Consider the following 27,522-nt stretch of genomic DNA (forward strand, 5'->3'; position numbering starts at 1 on the left):
ACCCAGAGAAACTAACCTCAAATGCAACCAGCAATATCATGCATCCATTGATAGATCAGTAACTCCAATCAATTCAGTGTTTTTGGTTGGGATAATTTTAAAACTACAGTCTCTTTTGATACAAGTGGTTGACAGACTTTATTTTTTTAAGCAGCAGACCTCATTTTTTTTTAAATAGAAACCTCTGTAATGTAAAACAGACTTTTCTAAATGGAAGTTCTTCATGAAGCAAGAGGTTTGGGAGCCTGGGAGACCTGGGACCCCTCCAACTTACTTCTATCCCCATCACGGCACCCTAGTTATTTCCAAAATGTCTTTGTGGCTTCCAGAATTTCCTTGAAAACCACAGCCTTAAAACATTTTTCATGCCTTCTTCTTCTTTTTTTTTTTAAAGAGATGAGGGTCTTGCTCTGTTGCCCAGGCTAGAGTACAGTGTCACAATCATGGCTCACCACAGCCTCGAACTCCTGGGCTCAAACAATCCTCCTGCCTCAGCCTCCCAGGTAGCTAGTACTACAGGTGAATGCCACCACACCTGCCATCATACCTGGCTAATTGTTTTTTAAGTTTTTTAGAGATGGTGTCTTGCTATGTTGCCCAGGCTGGTGTCTAGCTCATGCCCTCAAGCAATCCTCCTGCCTCAGCATCCCAAGTAGCTGGGATTACAGGCTATTTATTTTTCTCTAAAATAAAACTGCTCAAGTAATAAGTGAATACAATTTATGCTTATGGAAATCTTTCAAAAAATGTATAAGTATATAAAGTATGAAAGCCTTTATTCCCTCCCTGAAATCCCCTTCTTAAAGAAAACTCCTTTTAAAAGTCTATGATATGTCCTTCCAAATCTTTCTAATGCCTTCCTTTTATAAACATAAACAGTCACATTTTTTAACAGAAATAGGATCATATCTGCATATTGTTCTCTACATGATTTTCCCCTTTACAATAACCAATAGGCATCTTTCCATGATGGTATACACAGGTTTACACATTCTTTCAATGGCAGCAGAATATTCTATCATATGGATGGAATATACACCATTTCTTTATTAACAGACACTGAGGTCATTTCCCAATTTTTGACATTTCAAGTAGTACTGTGTGGAATATCCTTACACATCTCTTTTTGTTTGTTTGTTTGTTTTTGTTTTTGTTTTTGAGATGGAGTCTCGCTCTGTCGCCCAGGCTGGAGTACAATGGCGCGATCTCGGCTCACTGCAACCTCCGCCTCCTGGGTTCACGCCATTCTCCTGCCTCAGCCTCCTGAGCAGCTGGGACTACAGGTGCCCGCCACCACGCCCGGCTAATTTTTTGTATTTTTAGTGGAGACAGGGTTTCACCATGTTAGCCAGGATGGTCTCGATCTCCTGACCTCGTGATCTGCCCACCTCAGCCTCCCAAAGTGCTGGGATTACAGGCATGAGCCACTGTGCCCGGCCCCTTACACATATCTTTTATGCCCAGTTACAAGTGTTTCTGTTAGCTGGATTCCGGGAAGGAGAATCACTAGGTAAAAGCAATATCTTTTTTTTTTTTTTCCTTACTTGATTGCTTACATTCTAAGAAAAAGGCCTCTGAGCCAGAGGGCTCCTGACAGCATTTCATCTCCCTAAACAAACCACCAACAGCAACATTTTCCTCCTACATGTGGGCACCCATTCTCCAAAACTGAGAAAAGAACATCATGTGGAATTTGGATTGAGAAGAGAAAAAGGGCCATGTTTCTTTCCTTTGGTTGGTTTTAGAAATGTGCTCAGAACGTGACCAAAAATTGTTAACTGCAGTAAAAAGACGTAGTGGTCACATTGAGAGTAGCAGATGTTCTACCATGACTTGTAGTGGCAGAATTCTATCAGCGCTCCGAGGATGCCCAGCTCTATAAAATCAGAACCTGAACCAGACCTAGCCACCTGAGGTAAAAAATGCAGTCCAGGAAGATTAACATAGGAAGTCACGGTATTTGTTGGGGTTGTTTTTTCTAGCTGACTATTTCTTCCTGGTGGGCATTTTAGTTTAGGGTCAATGACAATGCTGGTAAATGTTTTAACAACCAGTTCTCTAGGAGGTGAAGAACAATGATTTGTGACAATGCCAATTTCCACGGTGTAAATACTCCCACCGTGGCTGATTTCAATCTTACCAACATGGTATCACCGAACTTGGAGTTGGGAAGAGAGGTACAGAATCCGTTCTTATGAGCCACTATGAGCCAGCTCCAGCACACCACTGTTCGGGATTCATTTTTAAAAATTATGAATCTGGGGGGCAGTTTAAGTTCTCTATAAAGTATAAGAAAACACCTTTTCAGTTATAAGAAAGCAGAAAGAGCTCTTCTCTTCAACACTTAATCCCTATTTATGACGTTTCACCCTTATGCAGCAGTGTGAATTTCCCCAAATCTTCAAGTGCATTTTTTTAAACCCAGAGGGATTAGAGTGATTAAGAGCAAAGGGTTTAGCATCAGATGAACCCAGATGAGTCAAAGCTCTGCCACTTAATAGCTGTGTGACCTTGGGCAAGTCACTTGACATCTCTGGCCCTCTGTTTCTTCATTGGTTAAATGTGTTCCTGCCTCAGAAGTTATTGTAAGAATTAAGCAAAATCAAGTCCATAGAGGATTTAGCCTAATATCTGGGAACACAATGAATGTTCATTAAATAACAGCTATAAAATGTAAAAATCCCTATTTTAAAGAGAAGTTAGGTGTACGATTATCAGTACCATTGAGACTGAAGGCTAGGAAAGAAAGGAACTTCTGAGCAGAATTTTACCAACAGGTGAGACCTATGTTCACTGGGTGAACAGACAAGTATGCAAACAGGGAAAAAAGGCTACAGAAGGTTGCCCAAAACCTAGTTGCAAAGATAAACAACCCAGGTAATGAGCCCAAGAAGGTAATACCTAATCTCCAGTTCTCCTGACTGTGCTTTTCTGAGTCTCCATCATCAAGCAACCAGTATCTCCTGTTACTAAAGCATTTTGACACTTAAACCCTGAGCCCTGACACCCACCGTGCATTTTCCAAAAGGAGATATCCATCCTTGGGGACCTGTAGATCCCAGAGGCTCCATTTCAGTTAGGCATAATGACAGCTGTAGACCCAATCCCTCCCCCTTATGGATTTTATAGGAAGAAAGTCGGAGTGGTTCGATACCTCAATGAGGGCTTTCTACAGGCAGCAAAATTTCACTAACCGGCAGTTACTGTGCTGCAAGCAGAAGAACAATCTTTGTTAGTTGCAGGATGATCTCATATTTGGATGGATTGGTGGATGTTTGGGTGAATGGACAGATGACAGATTTTAGGGTGTCATTATGAGTTGCATCTGAGTCTCTGCTTTATTGAGAAAAAAAAAAACTCCTCAACTTCCCAATTTCATCATGTGGCAATTTAAACACATTATCACTATCATTTCTCAGCATCCTTGTTAATTCCACTGCTAACAAGAGAGTTTATTTCAATTGACAAGATGATCGGGTCCACAGTAGAAATTGAAACCAACCCTTCAATAATGAATGTGCCAATTACGTTTCTCCAAGAGATATAAGCCTCTTTTTAGGCAAAGTAGGATCTGATTTTTTCATGAATGCCCATAAGTATTTATTCAAACCCTTAGGGCCAACTGCATTTCAGAATTCTGAGGGTTTTTTTTGTTTTGTTTTGTTTTGTTTTTGCATTTTAAAAAGGAAATATGATACATGTGCCATATAGAACATCACACTCCCAGAGGGGCCTGTCATCAAACACAATATTTCTGCAGAAAACAAATAAGTGAATATTTATCTTAAGTGCATAACAAAGGTCAAAAAAAGGCCACTAACAGCCTCCCATCAGTTTCTGTCATGCTTTGCTACCAAATAAGCCATTTAAATTGTTTTGGTTTAAAGACTCTTTGGATTTTGGAATTGGTTAAGTGGTTGTGAACCTGTATTGATTTTATTCTTATTAGAGACCAAATTTCCAAGAACCAACCGAAGACCTACCTAGAAATGAGTAGACTTTTACAGAGTCACAGACATCAGCTGTGGGGAAATTTGACAAGCTCTAATGCTGCCTCCCCTACCCCTGTGGCCATCTTCCCTAGTTACAGTGGAGAAGAAACAGGCCAGACCCCTGGCCAAAGAAGGGAGTGAAGAGTTACCTACTAACCTTCCAGCAGGTACAGCACACACCTCAAAGGAGTTGTTCCAACAGGCTCGAGTCCCCAGAGTCCTGTGCTTTCCCCTGGTGCCACAGGGGCAGTACAGTTGTCTACGTCTTATTGCTTCAGGCTGTCCAGAGAGACACCACTGGGCCCACTGTTTAGTGGGGAGACCAAGTGGGTGTAATCCCTACGCTTACAATCCTGATTCTTATAATCCTGACTCTTGTAATCCTTACTCTTAAGAGACACCAGACATTCAAGGGCTGGGCTGTCCAGGCACAAAAAATCCACCCTTCCTTTAGAAATACACATATGAGTAAAAGGCAACCAACCACACTTTGAGGTTTCAAATATGACACAAACATCAGCCAGGCGTGGTGGCTCATGCCTGTAATCCCAGCACTTTGGGAGGCCGAGGTGGGCAGATCACCTGAGGACAGGAGTTCGAGACCAGCCTGACCCACACGGAGAAACCCCATCTCTACTAAAAATACAAAATTAGCCAGGCTTGGTGGCACATGCCTATAATCCCAGCTACTTGGGAAGGCTGAGGCAAGAGAATTGCTTGAACCTGGGAGGTGGAAGTTGCGGTGAGCCGAGATCATGCCATTGCACTCCAGCCTGGGCAACAAAAGCAAATCTCCGTCTCAAATATGACACAAACATCAAAATCCATCTACTGTTTTATGATGAAAATGGCTGGCACTTGAGTGCTTTCTATGTCAAGCACTGCTCTGGGTGTATTACCTCATTTAAGCCTCATTCCAACTTACCAATAAGGAAACTGAGGCATAGAAAATTAATTTGCTCAAAGTTGCACAGCTAGCAAAAGGTAAGGCAGGATTCGAACCCAGGTAACCTTGCTGCAAAGTATGGGTGCTTCACCCCCAAATGGTTGTTTCTCTGTAGGTAAATCCCAAAGTCTTTAATCAACTTAGAGAATAATCTGATGCCCCGCCTCGAAGAAAAGAAGATCTTATTACAATGTGGTACTTTCTGGGAGGCCCCAGGATACAAAAGGGACTCGACTTACCGAGATGTTATCACATATAAACTGCAATTTTCTTTTATAAAATAATTTCAAGTGCCATTTTGCACATACTGTTTTGAAACTAAATTTTTGCTGTTTGCCTTAGTATATAAGGAGCATCTCTCCAGATCTGAACCTCTGCTGTGGCGTTTATCAGCATACGAATGTACTGAAACATATTTAACCAATATTCCAAGACCTTTACGTCTTTTCCAAGTTTTTGCTTCCATGAAATACTGTCGCAATCGTTCTGAGCAGCACTCATAATAGCATTTTTAAAATTTAAATTGTTTATATTTAAATTAGTTTTCCCTTATCTTGTGGTACTCCTCCCCCCACAACCAAGAAAATCTCACTTTCCTCAAGCCTGGCTTTTCCAGGCACTAGTGGGAATACTGCCGTGAAGAAAACAGACAACACCCCAGCTCTCAGGAGCTTCCATTCTACAGGGGGTGAGGGAAGCAACAGATGATAAACATGCAATAATCAAGATACTTTGAGATAGCAATGTGTCATGAAGAAATTGATGGGTGATGTGCTAGTGATGGGCAGGGGAGTTTTAAATTGGGTCATCAAGGAAAGACTCACTCAGACAGTGACATATGAGTGAAATCTCTGATTTCCCCTGCTCTCCTCTTTGCACTGATTTAATTGCATGGCTCCTCCACTGTGGTACTCCAGTGGACATCTCTGTGGAGTGGGAGAATGTGGCAGGAGGATCAGATCATCACTCAGGAGGTAGGATGGAACCACCTGGTCCAGGAAGTCCCCAGAGCTTTGACCTCTGCCCCCGCCCTGCTGCAGAATCAGCAGCTCTTCCCCTCCGTCATGGACATATGAGCACGTCCTAACCTAGCCTACAGCTTTCCACCCTGGGAAGCAGATGTTTTACCCCAGATGGGAGTTCAGAAAGAGAGCACGAAGTATTTGAGAAAATTGCTCTGAATTGCCACTGTGGATAGACATCTTCAAGTGACAGCCTGGAACAAAATGTGCTTGGCGGATATAGTTAAAAGAGATTTGACAGTGCTCAGCGCCCTATTCCCTTGATTTCTGGCAAATAGGATCCCCTAGGAAGCTTCAGCAGGGGAAAATTACGGTCTGAAAGTTATAGCTACATCTCCCCCAAGGATCTGCCCTAGTACCCTGTTGTCTACCATCAGCTCCTCCTCTAAGCCACAGTAAATCTCTGTTGAAAAGAGAAGGTTATTGTTGTTAATAGCTGAACTGTATTCAGCTCTCTGTACACAGCACCCATGAAGCCCTTAATAAGCCCCATTTCTTTTCATCTTCACGGCAATCCTTTGTCATAGCTGCTATTATTCCCCCATTTTACAGATGAGGACAGTGAGGTTCAGAGAGACTAAATTACTTACACCAAGTCACACATGTAGGAAGCAGTGGGGAAGACAGAGGACTCGAACAGCTGGTCCAACCTATTGTTAAATTCACTCTTAACCACTAAGATAACACTTTCCTGGCCTTGATACTCGGAGACTTGCCCGAGGTCACACAGACAGTAAATCACAAGGATATTAAATGGGTGAGCTAAGTAAGTTAGGCTGCCATAATGAACAACCCCCAAATCTCAGCAGTTTAAGGCAAAAAAAGCTTGTTCCTTGGCTCACCTTTCAAATCCAACAGGGAGGCTCTACTCTGTAGTTACTCAGGGACTCATGCTGATAGAAGCTTCCACCATCAACGAGGCAGAAAAAGGAATCCGATGACTTCAGGACTAGCTATTAAATCATCTACCCGAAGTCCCACATGTCACTTTCACTCATGTATTTTTGAACAAAGCAAGTCACAGTGCTACACTTGCCTTCAGAGAGCAGAGAAGGCCTGGAACTATTTGGTCGATGGCACTAATGCTTACCCCACCAGGCCAGGGGGAAGGACCACCAACCCTCTCTGCCCTCCTCCACAAGGTATGCAATGGATGATGCAGCTTAGGTGGTTTTATTTTTTTCTTCCTTCCCCTATTGATCTTCCTTTTTGGGTTATTTGCTACTGAAAATGAAACATCAGAAAGACCGATTCCAGCTAACCAGGCCTTTTCTTTATCAATGGGTTTGCAAGAGCAAGGGCTCCGAGCTTTTTAAGGTCTGTGGGAATCTTGCTGCATTTTGAACTCATTTAGCCTGCTGCTTGAAGTCGCAATAGATTTCAGGTCATCTTGGAAGTCAGCATTAGTGGAAAACTTCCATCTTCCCGATTGGACCTGAATAGTTAAGATTTTGAAAGCTTTGCTGGGACCAGATTTAATTTTAAAAGGGGAAAGGGGGTTGCTTTTGAACTTCGAGAAGAAGGCTGGAGGCTCAGCAGGGGCTGCGTTAGCAAAGGGAAATGCGAAAAGCCCTGTGGTCTTGAAAGAAATGCTCCAAAGTGAAAAAAAAAAAACACTAAAGCTTCCAGTGGGTGAACCTTAAATCAGACTTCAAAAGCACTGCTAGTTTAAATATTGTTTATAGGACTGAAGGATTGCTCCTTCTTCTGGCTGGATTTTAAATATCCCCTAATTTGATTACTCGGGGGAGAGGCAGGCAGAACCAACTTAAATGAGCTTCACTGTTAATTATTCAGAGGGCTTTTTATTGTGTAATCAAACATAAAGTCTTACAAAAAGCTTAGAGGCACATTCTCACCCCACCTCACCAGCCCGACTTCCACTTTGGGTCTGTGTGCATTTCTTGTGTGGTGGCTGTTCGCTGGTAGATCTTCAGCAAAGTCCCACTGGTGAAGAGAGGACACCCCCAACTCCTTATTTGGACTGGGAAAAGCCTTTGATTCTGCTACTCAGATCTCCATGCCATGAGAAGTCAGCCTTAAGTTAGGTTTATCTTGATCACCTTTTGCCTTCTATATCTGAGCACCTCCCTTCTACCCACAACCACCAGCACTCAGCAGCCCCTAACAAGCCTAGACCCCTGTCATTGTCTCCCTAAACCAAAGCAGTTCTGTTCATCCTCTTTTTTTTTTCTTTTTTTGAGACGGAGTTTCACTCTTGTCCCCCAGGCTGGAGTGCAATGGTGCGATCTCGGCTCACTGCAACCTCCGCCTCCCAGGTTCAAGCGATTCTGCTGCCTCAGCCTCCAGAGCAGCTGGGATTACAGGTGTGCGCCACCACACCTGGCTAAATTTTTTTTGTATTTTTAGTAGAGACAGAGTTTCACCATGTTGGCCAGGCTGGTCTCGAACTTCTCATCTCAGTTGATCTGCCTGCCTTGGCCTCCCAAAGTGCTGGGATTACAGGCATGAGCCCGGTTCGTCTTCTTATTTCAAGTTCCTGCTCTCTGCTAGGCGAGAGCTAGACAAATAATTAAAAGGATCCTTGTGATATAAAATTCTTTCTGCAAAGAAAAAGGGAATAAAGAAACAGATAGGTGGATGGATGAATGGATGAAAAGATATATATGGACAGAGAGATTGATAGACCAATCAGTCGATCAATCGATATGTAAAGGTAGTTGAGAGATCACACGTTGAGACTCCCTGCTTTCTTATCAGTAGAGACCCACTTCCCCATAGCCACAAGTCCAAAATCCACAAGCTCTGAAAACTCAGTTTTTTCATAACTCATTTGGCAGCAAAATCTGACAGGAACCAATCGAAGTTGGCAGCAAAATTGGACTTGAAGCTACTTCTGGTCTTTATTTCTCCCACCTAGTGTAAATATCCATGTGTTTCATTGCAGAAATATTCATGTATTTGGTTACAGGATGCTGTCCCTTTAGCCCCCTCAGAGGGATTATGTTAACATACAGTATATGCAGCATGTTTCCTTTCCAAAATGCCAAAATTATTAATTTGGCAACAAATCTGGTCCCACAGATTTCATACAAGGAATTATGGGTGTGTCACCAACAGAACCTACTGGGCTTCAGTCTCCTATCCAGAAAATTCCCAACCCATGACAGGAGGATCCAGGTTTTGTGGAGCCTGAAGCTTATTTAACTGGGGAGAGGGCATTTTAAGAAAAAAAAATACAAAATTACAATACAAAATTAGGTACAGGATCCTGGAAGAGGGACCCACACTAGTGAGGAGCCCTGAAGCTTTAGCTTCATTCGTTTCACTGTAAGTAAGTGACTTAAACTCCCTTAGTTTGTTTTCTCATCTGAAAATGGGATGACAATGACTACATCACAAGGTTATAGTGATTGAGATGATACAGACAGAAGGCACAGAAAGGTGTTGCACACAGTGTCGTAGAGAACTTATGCCCAGTCAACCTCCAATCAGTGATTTTCATTGTGCAATCCACCCCCATCAGCCCCACCCTCAATCCCACCCAGTAATATTCTCTGTGTGTCTCTCAGAAATGTCCCTGATGGTGGACCCCTTGGGCAACAGAAAAAGCAAAGATTTAGAAATGAACATGCTTTTCAATTCACCCCTCAGGAGTAATCGCAGACCTGCCCAGGATTCTAGGAGAGGACCGAGTCTAAAATACAAATAGATGCAAAAAACATGCAAATATATACCACCTCCCTCCTCCACCCAGTAAGCAAAAGTCTCTCCAAACCTCGATTTCACTCAAAAGAGCCAGCTATGGAGAACTATCCCCCCCATTTCTTCACAAGTAGAGGAGTGGGGGAGGAAATCCTAACAGAGCCCAGCCACCATTCCTCCTCTATTTATTGCATTTCTTAAAAGAACTTGTAATAAACCAAGACTCTGGAAACGGAAAACTCATTAAGCTGTTTCTCACTCAGGGACCCGGGTGGAAGCAAGAGCACCATTAAAAAAATCAATAAGGACAAGTCCATGGGACAGAAATGGGAGCATTTCATCACAGCGCCAAAGGTAACCAACAACACGCGACTCAACCCTTTGGCTCCTAGGTCCCAGCTTGTGTTGAGGAGTATTTTTGCCAGTCTTTTCTCTGATGGGAATTTTTTTTTCCTAGTTGGTTCTCGGAGTGAAGGGAAGTCAGAGCCACAGGCTGTTGGATGGTTTTTGTAAATTTTAATTAAAACAGTTATCTAGGGATTATAGGAGAAATGACATTTGGCTGGACACTACATAATGGGGACAGGAGGGGGTGCTAAGCAGCTGCTTAACAAGATGTCACCAGAAGGAAATGGACTCACCTCACTCTATCTTCTAAATCAATAACAGTCATTTCTTTCTCCTTCTCCCTCCCTCCCTCGCTTCCTCCCTCACCGCCCCCCACCCCCACCCCGCTTTAACCCAGTCAGAAAATAAAAGCCAGGCACACTAGCTCATGCTTGTAATCCCAAAGGATTGGGAGGCCAAGGCAGGAGGATCGCTTGAGCCCAGGAGTTTGAGACGAGCCTGGGCAACATAGCAAGACCCCGTCTTCACAAAAAATTTAAAAATTAGCTGGGCATAGTGGTGTGCACCTGTAGTCCCAGGTATTAGGGAGGCTGAAGTGAGAGGATCATTTAAGCCCAGGAATTGGAGGCTGCAGTGAGCTATGATCCCACCACTGCACTCCAGCCTCCCACCTGGGCAAGAGAGTGAGATCCTGTCTCTAAGAAAAAGAAAAGACAAAGTGAGTGATTCAACAAAGATTTTCTACAAACTAGAAGGTGCAGTTATTAAGAGGACACCAAGATACAGATTCTTTTTACCCAAAAGTATTCCTAACCCAGGACCTCCCAAACTCATCTACTCAATAAACAAGCCTAATAATCATAATAATAATAATGGCAAAAGGTAATATTGAGATAGGTAAAGGTAATAGAGCACACAACTAGAGCGTTTGCTGAACCTGTCCCCTAACCTATGAAATGGATATAATGCCCTTTCCTGCCTACCTCACAACTTTAGTGAAGAATCCCAGGAAATAAATATAAGGCAAACACACTTTGAAAATGTGAGAATGCTTAGCATTACTGTGGTTATGTAAATTTTAGAGGCCACTGTTCAACATAATTGTAAATGGGCTAGGTTCTGTGCTAAGGAAGCTTCTGTAGGAATATTATCCAGTTATGCCCTCTTAATAACCCTATGGGGCACTATTCTTACCCCCAGGTGAGAGAGGAGGTATTTGGGGGCTCAGAGAGGTTAAGTAACTTACGTAAGGTTACCCAGCTGGGTACTGGCAGAGCCAGAAGTTAATTCTGGGTCTGTTTATTAAACATAGTTTATTAAACATATAAACATCAATAGGTTTATTAAACATATAAACATCCAATGCCTGGTCTTCCTGACCCCATGATTATAGTTGCCCCTCATGAAGAATTTCACCATTTTCTTACTCTTTCATCAGGGTGCTCCTAGATTTAAGACGAGCCTTGGTTTTTATGGCAGAAAGTTGCTATGGAGATACAGTGTGCATCCGTCTTCAGAAATGCACAGAAAAAGCAGCAGGAGCTACAAACCTTTAAAAAAAGTCCTTCAGGGATATTCACCACTAAAATTGGAGGAGGGGAGGGGGAGAATGAATAGCTGTGCTTGAACTCTTGCAAAACTGAATTCAAGTTTGTGGGTCAAATCCTGGGCTGCAGCACGTTCCACTCTGGGCATGGGGGAGCACTCAATTAGGCTGCAGGAGACCTGGCTCAGCCATGCTGACTCAGTTCACTGTGTGACCTCAGACAAATCCTTTCCCCTGTTCTGGGCCTCAGTTTGTCTACCTATAAAATGAGGACTTTGAAGGAGGGAATCCAACCAGCTCCCACAATACTCTTCTTTTCCCCTGATACTCTTCTGTATGTCTAGGCAGTGTTCATAGGGGCCAGGCAAATTGTGTTATTAATAAAAGAAAAGATCAGGCTGAGTGTGATACAGTAGGGAGTGGTGGAGTCTGTGGCAAACTGGAGCACTCCTGCACAGCTAAAGGGAAGAACCTCTGTGCAGCTTTAGCTCATTTTGCCTTGTGAGAATGGGAGCCCAGAGCTTATCATTTTCAAAAGAAACAAAAAACTTACATTTTTATATAAAAGTCTCCCAATTTGTAAAATCCTGGGTAGCTAAACATGTCTCCCCATGGGCCACCAGTCTGCAACCCCTACTTCACAGAAAGTGTAAGGAACCTTTCAGCAAATTCTTTTCCTCCGTTGCCAAAAATCAGTCCCTACTGAGATGGAACATAGCAACTGGTTAACACAACTGCTGAGTGAAATATAAAAAATAGAGAAGCAGCATTTAGGGATTTAAGTCAATTCAGAGAGGTTCAGTTCAATAAAAGGCAAGCCAGTGCCTGTCACATCTTCCCCCTACATTTTATTTTTCTGCCAGTTTCAATTAATCACAAGTGTCAGCCCTTCACTTTGGATTTCCTGGCTAGGATGGTTAATTAAATTTTAATTAATGGCAACTTTGGGAGCATAAGATGAAATCCTAGCTCAAGGAAGACACCCCTGGATATGGAAGGCTCTTCTGAAATTGTCCCAGGCTATCCCCTAGGTTTTATAAATGAGGAAACTGAGGCAGGGCAGAGTGACATATTCAAGGCCCCCCTGAGGTACCCTGACTCTGACTCCAGTGCTCACTGCAAGATTCCAAGCTGCCTCATGCCACCATCTGTCCACCCTTCAAAAATTACATTGATTTTACTAGGCACAGTGGTTTACACCTATGATCCCAGCACTTTGGGAGACCAAGGCGGGCAGATTGCTTGAGCTCAGGAGTTCAAGACCAGCCTGGGCAACATGGTGAAACCCCATCTCTACCAAAAATAACAACAACAACAAATTGGCCAGGCATGGTGGTGGGCACCTGTAATACCAGCTACTTGGGAGGCCGAGGCAGGAGAATAGCTCAAACCTGGGAGGCAGAGGTTGCAGTGAGCCAAGACTGTGCCACTGCACTCCAGCCTGGGCAACAGAGTCAGACCCTGTCAAATAAAAATAAAAATAAAAAAATTACGTTGATCTGAAGAGCCTGGTTCCTAGAGTCAGGAATTCATATTGTTCTAGATAAAATGGAAAGAGGCAACTTCTACATGTTTCATCCCTGAGCTCTGATATCATCTCTCCCCAGAATGACAAAGAGTAGAGGGGCCTTCTGTCAGTTTTGCAAGCTCTTGACCAGTTGCAGTGTCAGGACAACAGGATCATTGTACCAAGCTCCTAATTTATCAAAGGAGAGGACATGCCTGCTTTGGGTGCTTGGCATTTCTTGATCAGTCATTTTGTAACTTGCATGGCCTCTTGAAGATCTGGTTAAATCCAGTTCAAATTCCATTTCTCCAGTCTATCATATTCTGAAGCATTCTGTCGTTTGTACAGAATTTCACTGAAGATTTGAGAGAGATGAGGCAGGCACAGGGAGAGATCATATGTTAAGGCCCACAGCCTCTCCCTCCTCTTCCCCAACCTTCTCCCTCTCCTGTGCAACCAAGAAATCCCTCCCCTCTTCTAGTGCAAGAAGGTTCCACCCATAGTCAGTGCCCTACAAGGTAGCCATTCAAAATATTGCTTCTGATCACATACAGTGGACTCCCTGAAATGAATTCTGCTGAATACAATTCTCTCCACCCTGCGCAATGTGTATTAAATGTTGGTGTGGTCTTCAATGCTGTCTCTTCTCCCTATCACCTTTCCCAGGGTGTCAAACACTACGAATTTCATCTAAAGAAAACACCAGTCTATCCATCAAGAGCTTTCATTGTAAATGTGCTCAGATAAAATTATTTCTATTAAGTGAATATAAACTATAGCCCACTCTGTGTTGAGCTCTTTCTCTGGGGCATCTGAGGGCCTATTCTTCCCCCTTGTAAACCTGGCATTTTAGATGTCATAAAGAATCATTAGCATGGGATAAAGGGCATTTTCGATGTCACTGAAAAAAAACTTTTGAAGTATTTTGAAGCCAGGCATAGTAATGAGCTTTGGCATTAACCTAACTTAGGTCTGAATTCTGGTTCTGCTATTTTCTTGCTGTGACCTTGAGGAGGTTAGGAAGCCTCGCTGAAACTTGGATCATGAGTTATACGAGGACATAACCCCAAACAGTGCATTCTGAAGTGACACCAATCTCACAGGAAGGTACACACAGACACACACACAGACAGTCTGTGTGTACTCTTTCTTACTCCTTTCCTTCTAAAAATCCACAGGACTTTCCCTACCTACCTCTCAATTCCTTCCAGAACTTATCATCCAATTCTCCTAGCCCACTACAACCGTGGCTCCTCCCCCAAGAATGCCACTGCACCAGACAAATCTGCTTCCTCCCACTCACATCCTAAATGTCAGGCCTACAATTTCCCTATTCTGTGTTCTTTAGAAAACCTCCATGATTACAAATTATTCTTTGAGGCCCAGGTGTCAACTGGGGGACTAGGAAGTGTACACATGGAATTTGGAGCCAAAACCAAGATGTGGTTAAAAAATTAGACCCATCCTCATACACAGTTTGAAAATCAACTCCAATAGTTATTACAAAAGAAAAGTCAAAACCTGTTCTGGGCCTTGACATCATCATGGAAAACACGTTTGGCTTCCTATGGTGACTTCTTGGGCAACCATGAGCTCGTTCAATAGAATATACTCCACCACATTTGCTTTAAATAATACACATTTTAACATTATCTCGATTTGTGACAAAAGGTCACTCCAGATCCAGAATATATCTCATGGTGTTTGGAAAGAGCCAGAAGGAATTCACAGTCAGACCCAGGCTTTGCTTTTGTCTGCTGTCCCTCCCCACCTTCCTCCTTCCCTCCTTTCTTTCTTTCTTCCATCTTTTTCCCCCTCCTTCCTGAAACCTCTCTTTCTTCTCTTTCCTTTAGACCAAGAAATTCAAAATTCCCACAATGCGAGTCACCAACCGCAAACCAAGCCGGCGAGGCTCCACACTCAGTCTGAGTCGGGCCAGTGGGGGGTCCTCTCCCCAGAGCAGCATGATCTCTGTGAACCCTGGCTCGGATGAGCCCCCAAGTGTGAACACCCAGGTGACCAGCAGCAAGGACATTGAGGACAATGAGTCATCTTCAACCAAGCCAGATGAAGAACCTCTGTATATGAGTAAGTCCTACCTGAGATCTGACTCATCTACCCTGACCCTTTGCCTTTAAGCCAGACATCAAGAAACCCTCCTGCCTCAAGTCCACCTCCACTCATTTAAAGGTGACATGGGATCCCGCATCCTTGTTCAATTTCCTTGGACCTCTTTGTTTTCCCCAGTGGAGATCAGAAATATACTCCATAACTTGGGTTGCCCCAAGCCATTTCTCCTACAGAGACAGCCTGTGGTCACCAACTGCCCTTTTCTAATTTTAAAAATATTTTTATTTAGGCTGGGCACTGTGGCTCATGCCTGTAATCCCAGCACTTTGGGAAGCTGAGGCAGGCAGATCATTTGAGGTCAGGAGTTTGAGACCAGCCTGGCCAACATGGTGAAACCCTGTCTCTACTGCAAATGCAAAAATCAGCTGGGCGTGATGGCACACATCTGTAGTCCAAGCTACTTGGAAGGCTGAGGCAGGAGAATCACTTTAACCTGGGAGGCGAGGTTGCAGTGAGCTGAGATCATGCCACTGCACTCCAGCCTGGGCCACAGAGGAAGACTCCATCTCAAAAAAAAGCATTTTTTTAAATTTAGCCCAGTTTATACAGAACATTATCATTTCAATGTGTAACCAATGTAAAAATTATTAATGAGATATTTTATATCCTCTTTTATACTGTCTTTGAAATTCGGTGTCTACTTTTTTAAACAGCTTTATTATTGAGATATAATTTACATACCATAAAATTCGCTTATTTTAAATGTGCAATTCAGTGATTTTTAGTAAACTTGGAGTTGTGTAACCATCACCACAATCTAATTTCAGAACATTTCCAACCACCTGAAAGAAAACCTTCTGCCCTTCTTACCCAGAGCCCCCAGGCAACCACAAACTTGCTTTCTGTCTCTACTGATTTGTCTTTTCTGAACATTTTATAGATGGAAGTTGTACCACTCTGTGATCTTCACCCTGAAAAAGTCTTTTCAGTGGCTCAAAATATGAGGGAGACAAGTCCCTTAAAAATATCCAATTAGGCCAGGCATGGTGGCTCATGTCTGTAATCCCAGAACTTAGGGAGATGGAGGTGGGCAGATCGCTTGAGTTCAGGAGTTTGAGATCAGCTTGGGCAACGTGGTGAAACCTCATCTCTCAAAAAAAAAAAAAAAAAAAAAAAAATTAGCCATGCATGGTGGTGTGTGCCTGTGGTTCCAACTACTCAGGAGGCTGAGGTGGGAGGATCGCTTGAGCCTAGGACGTAGGGGCTGACGTGAGCTGTGATTTGCTTCTTCACTGCAGCCTGGGCAATGGTGCAAGACCCTGTCTCAAAAAGAGAAAAGAAGAGAAGAAGGGAAGGGGGAATGGGGAAGGGAAGGAAAATAGGAAAATTCATTGAAAGCTATGAGCCCTCACACAAGAAAAAAATTCAAACACACACATATACACAATTTTGCACAATATTTTGAGTGGGGTGCTGTGGATCTCTACTAGATAGAATCATGACTGGATTCCATAAGTCACATAAAACATTCATTTTCAGAACTTTCTGGCTTGAGCTTGTATAGTAAAAGGAGATAGGAAAAGCAAGAGAAGGATCCAGAAGGATTCATACAGAAAGATGGAGAAGGTAGAAAGAAGAGAGGGTAAGACAGGGACATGAAGGAGGAGTGGCCTACCACAAAATTCTTGACTCTGATGCACGGGACATCTTCCTGCTTCCTCCCCATCTGCTGTGTCCCCTCAGTGGTGTCCAGCGACAGAACTGAGACAACACTGGCGGCCAGTGTTCTCTCTCACACCATCTGGAATGCCTGTGGCAGCCGAGGCTGGGCTGAGTGACAAGGATTGTGTGTCGCATAGATTCAAGGAGGCGAAAAAGGAGGTCAAGGCAGACCAAGAATCTGTGTGGGGCCCTGATGTTCAAAGATGGAAGTGAGCAGAAGTGCAAAAGTCCACTGGGTGGTCAGGGTTCAGAGTAATGACTGCCAACAGGAAAAATCCCCACCGCCCCTGCCTGTCAACAGGGGGCTGGGAAAGGTCCCAAGCCCCGAAAAGCTGTTTTCTGAACAGAAGAAGTAGTATCTGAGATGGGAAGAAACTAAGATAGACCATCAGCAGATATGCGATTCTTATATATATATACGTGTATATATATACACATATATATACATATATACACATACATATATATACATATATACACATATATACATATATACACACATATATATACATATATATACACATATATATACACATATATATACATATATATATATATATATGTATATATACACATATATATACATATATATATATATATATATATATTTTTTTTTTTTTTTTCTAGAAACAGGGTCTCACTCTGTTGCCCAGGCTGGAATGCAGTGGCATAATCATGGCTCACTGCAGCCTCAAACTCCTGGGCTCAAACAACCCTCCCACCTCAGCTTCCTGGCCACTTACGGATTTCTTGATTCTTCTTTCATTTAACACATACTTTTTGAGCACCTACTGTGCACCGAAAACTGAGTTACTTGAGTACCTGCCCTTCCCAAACTTAAATTTTAGAAGAGACAAATGATAAATAAGAAATCCCTAGGCTGGGTACAGTGGCTCATGTCTGTCATTCCAATATTTTGGGAGGCCAAGGCAGGAGGATGGCTTGAGTCCAGGAATTTGAGACCAGTCTGGGCAAAATAGTGAGACCCCATCTCTACATGGAAAATTTTAAAAATTAGCCAGGCATGGTGGCACATGCCTGTAGTCCTAGCTACTTGGGAGGCTGAGGTCGGGGGATCACTTGAGTCCAGGATTTCAAGATTGCAGTGAATTATGGTTGTGCCACTGCACTCCAGCCTGGGCAACAGAGTGAGACCATGTCTATAAAAATAAAGTAATAAAGAAGAAAGTTATGGCATGGCATGGTAGCTCACGCCTGTAATCCCAGCACTTTGGGAGTCTGAGGTGGGCTTATCAAAAGGTCAAGAGATCAAGACCATCCTGGCCAACGGGGTGAAATCCCATCTCTACTAAAAATACAAAAATTAGCTGGGCATGGTGGCATGTGCCTGTAGTCCCAGCTACTCAGGAGGCTGAGGCAGGAGAATCGCTTGAACCCTGGAGGCAGAGGTTGTAGTGAGCTGAAATCACACCACTGCACTCCAGCCTGGCAACAAAGCAAGACTCTGTCTCAAAAAAAAAAAAGGAAGTTGTAACTAGCAAGGCAGTTGCATATAGTATGAGCTGGGAAGAGAACAAAACAGAATGCTGGGATAGAGAGAGACCGTTGGTGGGCATGGAGCTAAATTAGCAAGGGTGATCAAGGGAGCCTCTCTCAGGTCTGATGTTTGAACTGAGACCTGAAGACCTGAAGCTGAGGAGGGAGGCAGGGGCCAGAGCACGCAGGGCCTTTGTGGAGCAAGTAAGACTTCAGAATTATTCCAGGTGCAAGAGGAAGTATCTGGAAAGTTTTCAGTACAGGAGGGACTAGACCTGATCTACTTTTCCAAGGTGTTCTTGTGGTTATTGGTGTTATATCCATGTCTTCATTTTTTTTTTCAACTCTAAAAGCTTTGCTCTTAAATAAGAAGAGTAGAGCGATAGCCCAGCTTCAAGGCCCCACCCCAGTCCCAGAGCTTGCCCATGGTTCTCCTGGGGCAAACTGAACACTGGCGCTGGTGGCAGAAGGGAGTAGCAGAGGAAGGAGACTTTGCAATGAGGGGAGGGGTAAATGGAGCATCTCTCTAGGCACCTGCAACACTGCAGGCATGTCCCCAGTGGCCACCTTCCTCTCACATCCAATCACTCACCTGCTCTGATCAGTGCTGTCTCCTAAAACTCCCTCAAACCCTACCCTCTTCACACCTATTGCTTTTGTCTTGAAGATAGAAAACTAGGGGCACATACGGAGATCCTCACACTTATGTTTTGTTTAGCATACACAAAAATTTGTGTTTTTTTGAAAAGTAGCTGTGACTTTTAAAGATTAAGATGTTTTACCTAAAACATCTGACTTTTTACAAACAAAACACTCTTGGCCAGATATGGCAGCTCACACTCGTAATCCTGGCACTTTGAGAGGTCAAGACAGGAGGACCACTTGAGGCCAGGAGTTCGAGATTAGCCTGGCTGACATAGCCAGACCCCATCTCTAAAGATAAAATAAATTACTCCTTGTGGTAACAGTGGGCCTGCAACCCTGAATGACAACAATCAACTGGAGCTTGGTCCCTTTAAGTAGGGTTTGTGTTCTCCAGTTTTCCACAGTCTTCATCACTCCCTATTGCCCCACTAATTGCTCTGGTTGGCTGAGTGTGTGACCATTTACTATCACATTTGCCCTATTTTTTTCTTTAGAATGATGATGATGATGATGATGATGATGATGGTGATGATAAAACTATAACTAACACTTAAAAGTATTTTTGTATCAGCTCCTTTGTATGTACATTAATTCATTTAATCCTCACAAGAACTTCTTCATGCCTATTCTGCTGATGAGAACATTGGGGCACAGAGAGGTTAAGTTATTTGCCCTAAGTCACAAAGCTAGTGAGTGATGAAGACATAATTTGAACCCAGGAAATCTGGCCCTCAAGTCAGACTTGATTGCTCTGCTTTACCCAAGTCTTCAGGAAAAAATAAAAAATAAACGATGGACCAAGAGAGCAAATTGATTTTTTTTTACATCAACTTGTGTCACTCATTTTTGGTACCTGGCCCCTGAAGGCCACCTGAGTTTTGGACTTCTGGTCTAGAATCTCTTCACTTCTCACCTAGAAAACAACAACAGCCTCCTAACTAGTTTCCCTGCTTCTTGTCCTGCCTTTACCCACTTACTTTTCTCCATGTTGAGTCAGAAGGGACTTTCTAAATGAAAAATCTGATATAGTTCTCTCTAGCTCAACATCTTTCAATGACTCTGCCTTTTCTCTAATACGTTACCTCTGATCTTGCCCCAGGCTGCCCAGGTCAGCTCTTGCTAGTTCACACCTTAGGTGGGGCACTCCAACCTCATCAAAACACTTTCTTCTTTTTAAACAATGCACACTCTTGTATGACTCTCTCTACTTGAAATGCCTGTTCATGCTTGACCCTTCAGTCTGGTGGACTCCTGCTGAACCTTCAAGACCCAGTTCAAATGTTCCCTCCTCTGTGAAGCCTTCTCTGATTCACCCAGGTTTCCTCTTCTCTTGTCTCTTAGTAGTTGGTATTTGCTTTTATTGAATTATTAATTTTAACTTAAAATGCATCTCACTGTATCCAGTAGGCCCTTCTCATGGCTCAGTACAGAGACCTAAAAAGCAGTGGCTTAAAAAAAGATAAAAGCTTATTTTTTGTACAGATTAAAGAAGATCAGTCCAGGGCTGGTAAGGTGGCTTCCATAGATCATCAGGAATCCTACTTCCCCCACTTTCTTCTGTGTCATCCTTAACATCACTTCATAATCCACTATGGCTGCCAGAACTCCAGCCGTCACACTCACATTCTAGGATGGAAGAAAAAGGAAGTAAGCAAAGTACGAAAGTGCCCACTCCCAGCTGAGTTTAAGCAATCCTCTCAGGAGCCCCATACCACACTTCTACTAAAATCTCATTGCCCAGAACTTAGTCACAGGGCTATGCCCAGCTGCAAAGGATGTTGAAAAAATGAGCTAGCAAATGCTTCCCCTTGTATGCATAGAAAGAATCACAGTTCAATTACTAAGAAAGAAGGGGAAAAGGAATGTGAGCTCCCCACAAGTGTGCAACAGTAACATCTTATTTACCTTCATCCTAGCACACAGTAGGAACACAAAAATGACTGAAAAAAAATGAATTTCCTCTGGGAGGAAAAGTTTGCTACTTTAGCCTCCCAAACCTTTTCCTCCATTTATACCTTAACCTCCATCCAATTTGTCACAGCCTTGACAAAAGTAGATTAATTTCCCAGCCTCTCTTGCCTTCTAAAACCTCCTCAAATTGATTCTGAATTCAGGAGTCCTATTCTAAGAGACATACTATTTGACCAAGGTCTAATTTCCAAGGTTTCTGCATAATGAAGTCTTTGTTGATGCAAATCACTGGAGACAGCAGGTTGCAGCCTCTATGGGGAATGATCCCCTCCCCAAATCAATGGCAGGGAGATTCCCAAGAAACAAAAGCCCAGGCTACTCCTCCTGCTGGTCTTGAAGCTCTGAGTCTTGGAACTATTAGAGGAGAAACTCACTTAAATAATAACTCAAAAACATGAGTCCTATGCCATCTCATGTTTCCCTTCAAACCAGCCCCGTACAACAAAAAGACTTCCTCTATTCCCCCTCCCCAAAAAGAAGAAATGGATTTAGGCATTCAAGGGTGAGATTCTTAGACAGGCTGGGCATGGAAGATGGAGAAAGGAAGTCAGGATTTTTTTCTCTGGGGATATAATTTGACATTTGGTGCTCTAGAAGGACTGCTTGATGTGCCAGGTCGCTGTGGTCATTTGCTGATATCCATATCCACCCAACCTTAGGCTTGTTTGCTTATGAGTTGGGGGTAGGAGTGGTAGAGCAGTCAGATGTTGCTGCTTGGTTCTAAAGAGAAGGGAAGAAACTTGGAGAACCAATCACAGCTCCCTTGCTAATAGGCTTCTGGACACACTCCAGAGATTCTAGGATCTGTGGCTCTAGGGAAGGTTGGCATGACAAGACAAAAATAAAGGTCAAGTTCAGGTTAAATGGAATCATGCCCACAAATTGAGAGCTGGAGTAGAAAATGGCTTAATGCTGACATTTATCACAGCCTAGATGGCTCCAAAGTCACTAAGGAAGGCATTCTTTCCCTAGCACCCAGTAATTGCATTAATATGCAAAGGTGGATGTACACAACACACAAATGGTCTTGGGAAGCACTGGGCTTCACGCTTCCCTTCCAGGTATGGCTTTTGACGCCTGAGCTTGAGCCAACTGCAGGTACCCACTAAGGAATGAGGTGTCTGCACTGGTATTGTCATCGTTCATCGATATCCAAATCTAACTCATAGTCCCAAATCCTTCCTTCTATTTCCTCCCTAGTTGTTCACTTTTACGTTTAGCAACTATTGACTGAGACCCCATGTGCTAAGCATGCTGCCAGGTGCTATCAATAAAAAGACAAATAAAATGTGGCCCCTGACATCAAGGAACTCACAGCCTGAGGAGAAGACCTGCAAGTGAACAGAAACTGGCTATCACATGAAATCAATGCTGTGATGGGGGTCAGAAGGACAGTGTGCTGCAGGAGTCCACAGGTGGGCACCCTACCAGGTGCAATGGATGGAGATGGGAAGATAGCATTCTTCCAGAACCCCAGAGGAGGGAGGAAAATGTGATAGATCTATCAAAAGTGCATGAAACCAACATCGGCCACACTGCTCTCTGTTCTGAGATGGTGCAAGCCACCAATATTTCCCACAAAGACAGAAAATAAAAATCAAAAATTATTTTATCCAGTGGAGACAGCCATCTAGCATATTTGTTCATTTTGAGATGCAATCAGGTTGCACCACTAAGAATATGTGTTTAAGGCTCTCCCTTTGGTTGCTCACGTTCCAGTAGTTGGCTGTCATAGTTTTCTTCTTAGTTCCTGGGATTATTTAAAAACCATCTCAAAAGTCTCCTCTCTTTTATTTCTTGACATATCTCTGATCTCCAATGGCTCTCTGTCTGTGTATTTTCTCCTCTTCTCACTCCAAGTCCCTTCTTCCCAATTCTTGTTCATAAATCTGGGGAGAAATTCTGGTGTAGTCACAGTCATCAAGGGACAACCTCACACTGTGATGTTTCAGCACCGTGGACAGCTACAAACATTAGGAAAAAGCGGTCCCAAAGCTCGTGGTTTTGTATCAAAGCAGATTCCACGTTAGGGAGTGGGAAGAATTGAGATATCCAGGGATTTGCAAATATATATCCACATAAGACAGGACCATTCACTTCCACTCTCCCACTTTTCTTGAGGCACGTAACTTACTCCATCTCTATTTCATTTTCCAACTTTTTGGAGTGTCAGTGTGTGCGTTTCCTACAGCTGCTGTAAAATTTCTGACAACAGAAACTTATTGTCTCACAGTTCTGGATACTAAACATCCAAACCAACATGTCCATAGGGCCATGCATCTTCCGAAATCCATAGGAGAGAATAGTTCTCTCCTTTTCTGGTGGGTGCTGGCAATCCTTGGCATTCCTTGGTTCATAAATGCATCACTTGAATCTAGAGCCCGTGTCATCACATAGCCACCTTTTCCCTATATATCTCTCTTTCCTACTTATAAGGACACTAGTCATTGGATAGAGGGTTCATCATACCCCAATATGATGTCACCTTGACTTAACTACAATCACGTGTCACATAACAATGTTTCAGTCAACAATGGACCACATATACGACAGTGGTCCCATAAGATTAGAGTGAAGCTGAAAAATTCCTATTGCCTAATATATCTTAGCCATCATGATATCATAGCACACTATGTTACTCACAGGTCTGTAATGATGCTGGTGTCAATAAACCTACTGCATTTTATACTGCATATAAAAGTATAACACAATTATATACAGTACACAGTACTGTACTTGATAACGATCAAATGACTATGGTACTGGTTTATATAAGTACTACACTTTATTTTCTATTGTAATTTTAGAGTGTATTCCTTCTATTTATAAAAAGAAAGTGAATTGTGAAACAGCCCTAGGTAGATCCTTCAGGAGATATGCCAGAAGAAGGCATTGTTATCATGGGAGATGACAGCTCCATGTGTGTTACTTGTTACTGCCTCTGAAGACCTTACAGGGGACAAGATGTAGAGGTGAAAGACAGCAATATTGATAATCCTGACCCTGTGTAGGCCTAGGCTAATGCGTGTGTTTGTGGCTTAGTTTCCTTTTCTTTTTTCTTTTTTTTTTTCCTGAGACAAAGTTTCGCTCATGTTGCCCAGGCTGGAGTGCAGTGGCGCAGTCTCGGTTTACTGCAACCTCCACCTCCCAGGTTTAGGTGATTTTCCTGCCTCAGCCTCCCAAGCAGCTGGGATTACAGGCACCTGCCACCACATCTGGCTATTTTTTTTTTTTTTTTTGTATTTTTAGTAGAGACAGGATTTCACCATGTTAGCCAGGCTTGATCTTGAACTCCCATCATCAGGTGATCCACCCACCTCAGCCTCCCAAAGTGCTGGGATTACAGGCATGAGCCACCGCATCTGCCCTTAGTTTTTAACAAAAATGTTTTAAAAGTAAAAAATTTTAAAAAATAGAAAAATGCTTATAGAACAAGGATATTAAAAAAGAAAACATTTTTTACAGATATACAATGTGTTTGTTTTATGCTAAGTGTTATTACAAAAGAGTCAAGAAATTTAAAAAATGTAAAGCTTATAAAGTAAAAAAGTACAGTAAGCTAAGTTTAATTTATTATTGAAGAAAGAAAAATATTTTTAGTAAATTTACTGCAGCCTAAGTGTACAGTGTTTATAAAGTCCACAGTAATGTCCTAGGCCTTCGAATTCACTCACCACTCACTCACTGACTCACCTAGAGCAATTTTCAGTCCTGGAAGCTCCATTTATGATAAGTACCCTATATAGGTGTACTATTTTTTATCTCATACTCTATTTTGGCTGTACCTTTTCTGTTATCCCTAGATACACAAATACTTAACATTGTGTTATAATTGCCTTCAGTATTCAGTACAGTAACATGCTGTACAGGTTTGTGGCCTGGGAAAAATAAGCTGTATATACCAGGTGTATAGTAAGCTATGCCCAGGTGTATAGTAAGCTATGCCATCTAGGTTTGTGGGAGTGCACTCTATAATGTTCACACAATGACAAAATCGCCTAATGATGCATTTCTCAAGATGGGTCCCCATTGTTAAATGACACAATGGTCATTACATCTGCAGTGACCCTATTTCCAAATAAGGTCATCGACTGAGGTCCTGGTGATTAGGACTTCAGCATATCTTAGCAGAGAGGGTCACACAATTCAACCCATAACAGTCAGGTATGAATAAATATTTCCATACTATACAAAAATCAACAATATTCTTTTTTTCTGAGACAAGAGTCTCACTCTGTCGTCCAGGCTGGAGAGCAGTGGTGTGATCTCGGCTCACTGCAGCCTTGACTTCCCAGGCTCAGGTGATTCTCCCACCTCAGCCTCCTGAGTAGCTGGGAATACAAGTTTACCCCACCATGCCTAGCTAATCTTTTTATATTTTTGTTTTAGTAGAAATGGTGGTTTCTCCATGTTGCCCAGGCTGGCCTCGAACTCCTGAACTCAAGCAATCCTCCCACCCCGGCCTCCCAAAGTGCTGAGATTATAGGTGTGAGCCACTGCACCCAGCCAAAATCAATATTAAATATGAAAATAAAAGCTAGGCCAAGGCAAGGAGGGGTGGTGGGAGCTGTGGGGAGCTAGAGAGCAGTCGCCTATCTAAAGGCACGTCCAGCATGCAGCAGGAATGGGGGCAGTGTAGTCCCATCTCAGACTCCTTTCTAGGGAAGCTGGAGGTCTGGATTTTCATGTGAAATCTTCCAGTGTTAAAAGATTGGCATCCACATGGAATCAAATAAAACACATTTGTAAGCTGAATTCAGCCTGTGGATTGCTGGTTTAAAACTTCAGGCCTATGGAGATCAGAGAAGGTTTCCTGAGCAAGATGATTTATTCTCAGCTTTGGAAACAGTTCTCTCTGGCTGCAGTAGAGTTTAAGGTGGGGAAGGGAAGGGAGATGAAATGGGGGATAAAAAGAGAAGCTGGATCCTGGCAGGCCTCACAGGCTGTGTTGAAAGAATTTATTTATGTTTTATTTTTTATTTTATTATTATTGTTATTATTTTGATTCAGAGTCTAACTGTATCACCCAGGCTGGAGTGCAGTGGCATGATCTCGGCTCGCTGCAACCTCTGCCTCTCAGGTTCAAGCAATTTTCATGCCTCAGCCCCCTGAGAAGCTGAAATTACAGACATCCACCACCACGCCCAGCTGATTTTTGTATTTTTTGTAGAGGTAGGGTTTCACCATGTTGGCCAGGCTGGTTTCAAACTCCTGGCCTCAAGTGATCCACCTGCCTTGACCTCTCAAAGTACTGGCATTACAGGCATTAGCCAAACGTAACACAGAACCACTGATGGGTTTTAAGCAGGGGCGTGGCATGGTCAGATTTGCAACATGCCCAACACTATCAGCCACCTCTTCTGGACCCCAGTGGAATCTCTCTCCAGATCTCCAACCCTCAGGAGCAGAGGTGACCCCAGTTTGGGGGGCTGCACCCTGTTCTGCACAATCCTGTCTCAGGGGTGGCTTCTGGTCAAGGGTGACCTCTCATATTCTCATCAGATCTGCAGAAGCTCCTGGAGATGGTTCGGGAAGATGCCCGGAGGACAGTCACAATAGAAAATGGGATGCAAAGAAAAGCACCCAGGTATGTGCTCTTGACTCCTGGGGCAAATAAAGCTTAGAATAATAGCAATCACATTAACAGTAGTAGTTGCCAACTGTTGAGCATTTTCTCTGTGACAGGCACTGAGCTGTGTTGTTTATGTGTATCACCTCTCTGAGTTCTTACAATAATCCTACAAGGTAGGTACTATTATCTTTATTTTACAAATCAAGAAATGAGGCTCAGAGAGCCTATGTGACTAGTTCAAGGTCACTCAGCTAGTGAATGATAAGGCCATGACTCTAATCTAGACCTTTCTTACCAATTTATTTTTGTCTCTGAGACAGGGTCTCGCTCTGTTGCCCAAGCTGAAGTGCAGTGGCACAATCATAGCTCACTGCAGCCTCCAACTCCTGGACTCAAGTGATCCTCCCAACTCAGCCTCCCACGTAGCTGGGACTACAGGCACACACCACCACATCTGGCTAATTTTTTTTTTATTATTATTTTGTAGAGACAGGGTCTCGCTATACTGCCCAGGCTGGCCTCAAACTCATGGCTTAAGTGATCCTCCCACCTCGGCCTCCCAAAATGCTGGGATTACAGATGTGAATCACCATACCTGGCAAATCCAGACATTTCTAATTCCAAAAACCATTCTCTTTGCCATTCTGCCACACTGCTTCTCAGGAATCTTCTGGTTATTCATTCCTCCTTTGAGTGAATATTTATGAACATGTATGGGCTGTGTACTCATTATTATTGTGAGAAGTGTCCATTAAAGGAAAGCTTGAAACTGTGAGAACAAATAATAATGGCATTTGACCTAGTCTGGGTTGGGGATGGGGATCAGAGAAGTTTCCTCCAAGGAAGAAGCTTTAAGCTGAGATTTGGATAAAGCATGTAAATGAGCCAGCCTGATGAGGCTGGCATGGGCGGGTAGGGAGGTGGGGAAGAGAGTATTATAGGCAGCACATGTGCAAACGTGGTCAAAAGGGACCACAACACCTTCAGGGAACTGAAATGCAGCCAAAAAGGGATGAAA

General features: G+C 43.1%; 1 protein-coding gene and 1 long non-coding RNA gene across 12 annotated transcripts in view, besides 1 other annotated feature; one reads left to right on the forward strand and one right to left on the reverse strand.

Annotated features, from left to right (window-relative positions):
• Nucleotides 1-27,522, forward strand: part of CCDC60 (coiled-coil domain containing 60) — a 206,312-nt gene that overhangs the window by 155,460 nt on the left and 23,330 nt on the right. For 6 of the 8 annotated variants that reach the window (NM_178499.5, XM_017018912.3, XM_017018913.3 and 3 more), the window contains 3 exons: nucleotides 9,890-9,980; nucleotides 14,881-15,115; nucleotides 26,435-26,519. In NM_178499.5, the coding sequence (NP_848594.2) occupies nucleotides 9,890-9,980; nucleotides 14,881-15,115; nucleotides 26,435-26,519 (411 nt within the window). Of the gene's footprint in view, nucleotides 1-9,889; nucleotides 9,981-14,028; nucleotides 14,135-14,880; nucleotides 15,116-26,434; nucleotides 26,520-27,522 lie in introns of those variants that run through there. The other 2 variants (XM_017018915.2, XM_017018916.2) reach the window with 2 other exon arrangements.
• The window catches only part of PRKAB1-AS1 (PRKAB1, TMEM233 and CCDC60 antisense RNA 1), a 280,141-nt gene that overhangs the window by 102,202 nt on the left and 150,417 nt on the right, over nucleotides 1-27,522 (reverse strand). The window lies entirely within an intron of this gene.
• Nucleotides 22,803-23,003: a silencer, noted in NCBI's record as "peak2001 fragment used in MPRA reporter construct". NCBI's record gives its function as "represses an SCP1 promoter by STARR-seq MPRAs in K562 erythroleukemia cells {active_cell/tissue: K562}" and the evidence as "EXISTENCE:reporter gene assay evidence [ECO:0000049][PMID:32103011]".

The sequence above is a fragment of the Homo sapiens genome, chromosome 12, assembly GCF_000001405.40.
Source record: "Homo sapiens chromosome 12, GRCh38.p14 Primary Assembly".
NCBI lineage: Eukaryota > Metazoa > Chordata > Mammalia > Primates > Hominidae > Homo > Homo sapiens.